The sequence below is a fragment of the Homo sapiens genome, chromosome 17, assembly GCF_000001405.40.
Source record: "Homo sapiens chromosome 17, GRCh38.p14 Primary Assembly".
NCBI lineage: Eukaryota > Metazoa > Chordata > Mammalia > Primates > Hominidae > Homo > Homo sapiens.
This window is the reverse complement of record NC_000017.11, coordinates 50,845,222-50,851,461: the sequence shown is the minus strand read 5'-3', so window position 1 is coordinate 50,851,461 and position 6,240 is coordinate 50,845,222. Positions and strand designations below refer to the sequence as shown.

Here is a 6,240-nt window from a genome sequence, read left to right as displayed (position 1 = left end):
CTTCCTGAGTTGAAGGGATTCTCCTACCTCAGCCTCCTGAGTAGCTGGGATTACAGGTGCCCAGCCCCAAGCCCGGCTAATTTTTTTGTATTTTTAGTAGAGACGGGGTTTCACCATATTGGCCAGGCTGGTCTCAAACTTCAGACCTCAGGTGATCCGCTGCCTCGGCCTCCCAAAATGCTGGGATTACAGGTGTGAGCCACCACGCCTGGCCTGGGGTCAGACTTTGAATCAAATCTCAAACTCAACCTTAAATAGCAGTGCACTGTTAAAACGATTCCACCTCAGATTTCCTAACTGTAAAAGGGTTCCAAATTCTACTTGTTAGGGTTGGTGTGATGAGCATGTAAGATAAATAAAGCATTCAGCATAATCCTCTTCCCTACATAGAATAACCTGCACTCTCTTTACTCTGTGGTGAGAGAGGGCTCAAATCCTCCACCTCTCCCCGCACGGCTTAGCCTCAAGGGCATGTGCTCAGCCTATTTAGGGGAGGTCAGCTGGCTATAAACGTGCCTTTTCATGAGAATCCTAGGAAGTAAAACTTCCTGGTATATTAGCAGGGAGAAGGGAGGACACAAAAATGAGACGAAACCAGACTTGACTGTTCTTGAATCTGTGGTGGAAAATATCACACATGCGGTTAAGTACGTGGCCTTTGGAGTCATATAGACACGCCTAGGTTTGGTTCCCTGCTTGGCCAGGGACTTTGGGAAAATTATTCAATCTCCCTGAGCCTCAGTTTCATTATCTCTGAAATGGACAGGTTATTAAATGGAGGTGAAAAATATACACATCACAGGGTTGTAAATATTTAATGAGATAATGCATGTTGAACACATATTAAGTGCTGTAAGCTATTAGTAATGGAAATTATTAACCCTACCAAAAGGGCATCTAATTGGTAAAGGGTGCCCACCTTCTATGAGGTCTGGGACAGGGATGGGTTACCATCCGTGTAAGTCTCACTAAAGCTGTGTTCTAGTCATCCATAAACACCAGCTTCAGCGCTTATTAGGGTCACAGGGTAAAATTGCTGGTTGTAATGATTGTGAGGATTGCTTTGAGTCTGTTATTGATCATACCAGGGTCCTAAGGCTGTTTCCCCTTTTATTCTGTTGCCCCTTGTGGTACATTGAGATGGAGAGTGGCACTTGAAATAAGGGGTCATTGAGAGCTTAGTTCTGTGCCCCGAGGTGTTGGAGCTGGGAATGAAGGGTTCAGAAATATTCTTAGGGCCTCCATGGAGGTCTCAGAGGTTCCTCATCTCTAACCAAATTACTACACTTTATCTTTTCTTCCTGGGCCTCCAACTGCACAACCCCGAGTGTGTGCGTATGTGTGTATGCATCTCCCCATCCCTCTTCTTTTTCCTCTCATTCCTGCCCTCCTGCTCTCCCCCTCTCTTCTCCAGCTACCCTCCTCCTGGACTCTTTCCTTATCAGCAAAGGAGACTGCATCTGTTCTCACTTTGCTCTGGGAGAGGGGCCTGTTCTCCCCTCCTGGTTCTTGCTCCAATCATTGGCAGGGACGTGCAACAGCAATTATCCCCAACAAACTGAAGCAATGAGGCCCAGGACCAACTACCCTGGAGAGGCACTATGGCTACCATTATTATTCTGTTGTATAGATGATAATACTAAGGCACAGAGAAGTTAACTACTCAAAGTCACAAAGCCAGTATTTGAACCTATGCTCTGCCATGACTGTGACCTTTTCTCACTGCCGGCCCACCCTGGATAGCAAGGAGATTTGGGGACCTTGCGGCCTAAAATATCTGGCCCCTTATTTACTTATCTATTTATTTATTGCTTAATATGTTGATTGTCTTTATCTGAAAAATCCTCATAGAAAATTGTTGTCTGGGGCCGGGCGTGGTGTCCCACGCCTGTAATTTCAGCACTTTGGGAGGCTAAGGCAGGCGGATCAACTGAGGCCAGGCATTCAAGACCAGTCTGGCCAACATGGTGAAACCCTGTCTCTACTAAAAATACAAAAATTAGCCTGGTGTGGTGGGGTTTGCCTGTAATCCCAGCTACTGGGGAGGCTGAGGCAGGAGAATTGCTTGAACCCGGGAGGTGGAGGTTGCCCTGAGCCAAGATCGCACCACTGAACTCTAGCCTGGGTGACAGAACAAGACTCTATCTCAAAAAAAAAAAAAAGAAAGAAAGAAAATTGTTGTTTGGTTTAGCCCTCAGCAGTCTGCTCCTCTGCTCTTGTAAGAGAGGGCTCAGAGAAAACAAGCTTGCCTTCTTTTGAGCTACCCAATCTTTCTTCTGGGCAAGGGACATTTGGGGACGGTTCTATCTCCTCTTTTTAGCTTCTTTCTCGGGCTTCTTCTCATGGACTGGTGATATGGTTGGCATCTGTGTCCCCACCAAATTGCATGTCAAATTTTAATCCCCAGTGTTGGAGGAGAGGCCTGGTGGGGGATGACTGGATCATGGGGGTAGTTTCTCATGAATGGTTTGGCATCACCTCTCAGTGCTGTTCTCGTGATAGTGAGTGAGGAAGTCATTGGGAGCTCTGGATGTTTAAAAGTATGTAGCACTTCCCCCCTCTCTCTCTTCCTCCTGCTCTAGCCATGTAAGACGTGCCTGCTTCCCCTTTGCCTTCTGCCATGATTGTAAGTTTTCTGAGGCCTCCCCAGAAGCAGAAGCTGCTATGTTTCCTGCATAGCCTGCCAATTAAACCTCTTTTCTTCATAAATTGTCCAGTCTTGGGCATTTCTTTATAGCAGTGCAAGAACAGACTAACACAGCTAGATTCTCTTGTATAGCAGCATGAGCTTCCTTACACATCTCCTCCACCACGTCTGTAGTTACACTGTTCTTTATGTATTGAGATAACTCTTTCTTGTAAGCATCTTTATTTTCTTCCATTAGGTGATGCATCCAATCTGCAACATTCTGACCTATGATGTACTTCTGATGTACTTCTTCATTAAATTCCTTGCCTTCAGAATCATAAGCAGGGAATCATTTGGTACTGTGAGGGATAGACAAGCCTCCATCCACAGCTCCCTTCAGTGCCCCAAAAACTTTATTGCCAATAGTAGTTCTGGCAAAGCCTGCATCCAAATAGCAGGTGAAGGCACCGGGCTGACCATCAATGCTTTCCACATTATAATTCATCTCTGGTCACCTTCTCTTGGCCATCATAGATCTTGTCCATGCCGAACCTATTGAGAAGCCTGCAGGTCAGCACAGGCTGGTACAACAGGCTGCAGCGTCATCTGTCAGGCCAACCTTCACATTGCATTTTGGCAGTTCATGTGCATAAGCTGTACAGACTATCATATCCCCTTCTATGTGAGCATAAGTAATCTGACAAATGATATCTCTATTAGTTACATGACTTTTCCTGTATTTGGGCATGTTATACTTGTTTTTATCCTATATCACCAAGGGTTTCCAAAGATAGTAATCAGTTTTACCCTCTTGTCATTTTCTAAATTTCACGTGTATCTCTTAAAGTAGGCCTAGTTCTTGACGTCTTTAACCACCCCCATCCTGCAGAACAGAGCCCCCTGGGCCCTCTTTTTAAACATTTATGCAGCACACTTATAGCAGCAATGACCACTAACAAAATAATTATTAGACTTTTAGTCAGCACTTCCATGCAAGAAACAAGATGACAGCTGCAGCATAGGTGTCTCTGAAAAGCTGCTGAATAACTGGCCTGGTGGCAGGCTGATTCCTGGGAGGCGGCAGCTGTCATGGGCACTGTGCTGTGCCATGGGAGGACTTAGCCTCTCATTCCCACTGTCTCCTTCCCATCAGCAGCACCCCTACCATATTCAGCTAAAAGTTTGGAGAACTCATCTTCACCTGCGTGTCATGACTGCTGGTGCTGCGTGTGTGTGCGCACTTATTTGTGTCCCTTTTTGGGAACTCTGGGGTATTGAGGGAGGCCATCAAGAACTTTATTTGCATGAAGATATATAAACCTGGCCAAGCACAGTGGCTTACACCTCTAATCCCAGCACTTTGGGAGGCCGAGGCAGGTGGATCACTTAGGTCAGGAGGTCGAGACCAGCCTGGTCAAAATGGCGAAACCCTATCTCTACTAAAAATATGAAGATTAGCCGGGTGTGATGGTGGGCGCCTGTAATCCCAGCTACTTGGGAGGCTGAGACAGGAGAATCACTTGAAGCCAGGAGGTAGAGGTTGCAGTGAGCCGAGATTGCACCATTGCACTCCAGCCTGGGTAAGAGAGTGAAACTCCATCTCCAAAAAAAAAAAAAAAAAAAAAAAAGAGAGAAAAGAAAAAAGATGTATAAGCTTTTCAGGAGAAAAGATGAGGGCATACTGAGGCTGAGATCAGGGTCATGAGACAATGGGAGTAAAGAGAAATTTGTGTCAATCCTTTGTAACAGGGGTGTGCAATAGAATTTCCTGTAATGTTGGAAATATTCTGTCTGTGTTGTCCAGTATGGCAGCTACCAGCCACATGAAACATGGCACTTGATCCATAACTAGCGTAACTGAGGAAATGAATTTTACGTTTTTATTTAATTTAAATTCATTTACATGAATTCAGTACTAACAGTATTGAAGGGTATGGCTTTATAAAATTTCTGTAAACCCTTGGTACTCCCAGAGGTCAAGGACCAGTTGGAAGTGGTGGTTATGGGTGTTTAGAAGGGGAACCGCCATTTGGGGTCCTCAGCCTTTAACTGCGATGGTTAAAATACATATGTAATATCGTGATAAGGGTACAGGTACCAAATTCGGACAGACTTGGCTTTGAATCTTGGCTCTTTCATTTAATGACCCTATAGCCTTGGGTCCTTTAAACATTTAGAGTCTCCGATTCAGCATCTGTAAAATAGCACCTATGAGGGCCTCTTTTCCTCCATAAAGCCTATAGGGCTTGCCCCATTCATTCATTCATTCGACAAACACTTAATGAACATGGTCAGGCTTGTGTTTGGTGTATAGGTCTTTGCCCTCCTGAAGGTTGCAGCTTAGAGTGTGATCTGCCAAGTGGTGAAATAGTAAAATAATATGGTGCCTTCAGAGGGTTGGGAGGATTCAACCGGGCAGTCCACGTAAAGTGCCTGGCGCAGGGGTTAGCATTCTCATGTCCACCCCACTCCTGGCACTGTGCTTCTCCCCTGCCCAGGGTCCTTGAGAAAACCCTAGGCCCCTCCTCGCTTCCAGGCTACCCACCCAGAAAGGAGATAAAGTCACCGTCGTCTGCTCTCACTTAGACTATGGACAGAATTGGATGCATCCCTCACATCAAAACAGAAAACAAGTTATCTGGATGGGTCCACCTCCTCCCGTCGGGTCTCTGGCAGTGTCCTCAAGGCCTGAAAAGGGCCGAAAGCACGCAAGTGCCCCCTTTGCCCCTGACAGACACCTGGGAAGAGGCCCCACCTCCAGGAGAGGCTAGTCTATGTTGGGCTGGGTTCTGCTTTCCCTCATCCGAGTGGGGTTGAGGGTGGCCAGAGTATTGCTGGAGACCTAGTGGAGTACCGTGTCCCGGGGTAATTTGGGACGGGACCGCAGGGACTCCAACGTGACCCTGAAATGGGTCGAGGGCCTCAGGAGCCTGGGAGGCAGGCAGGAGAGGGGTGAGGGGCTTGCCCACCTGCCCACCCTGCCCTCTCCCTCAGGAGATGTCAGCTGGAGGTTTACTCTTCCTTCCTCCTGACACAGCCTGAGTGAGGAGTGTCACCTGACCTCAGGGCACATTCCAGAATGAGGCCACAGCCAAGAATAGGGCCCAGGAACCCTGCCACCCATCCCGCCTGCATTAATCACAAATTCTCCAGAGTAGGAGGGAAGCTTCAGACTCTTCAGAGAGGTGGGAGGAAGAGGAGGAGGAGGAGGCAACATGAGGTGGAGCTGGGAAAAAGAGGGAGGACCCCAGAGAGGCCCCTTCTAGGCTTGTGGTTGTTCAGTGCAGCAGCGCTGAGTGGCCCCTGGTCCCAGGACCCTCTGTTTCACCCAGCAAGCACCCCCATGAGCTCTGAGAGCTGGGCCCACAGCTTCCTGGAGGCCCTAGGCAATGATTCTGATCTGGATCAGCACAAACACAGAGGGAGAGGGACTCAGAGAGGAGTGCTCACACAGCCGGGGGACAGCAGAGGCTTCCCCAAGGAGCTGAGTCTTGAAGGATGAGTAGGCAGAAGGCTGATGAATCTAGGCCAGGACTGCTTGTGTGTGTGATAGAAATACTTGTCACAGGGTGAGGTTGTAAACAGCCCTGAGTGGTATGTGTGTGCTGATG

At 47.6% G+C, this 6,240-nt stretch overlaps 1 pseudogene; it reads right to left on the bottom strand.

Annotated features, from left to right (window-relative positions):
• RPL5P33 (ribosomal protein L5 pseudogene 33) lies at positions 1,809-3,528 on the bottom strand (annotated as a pseudogene).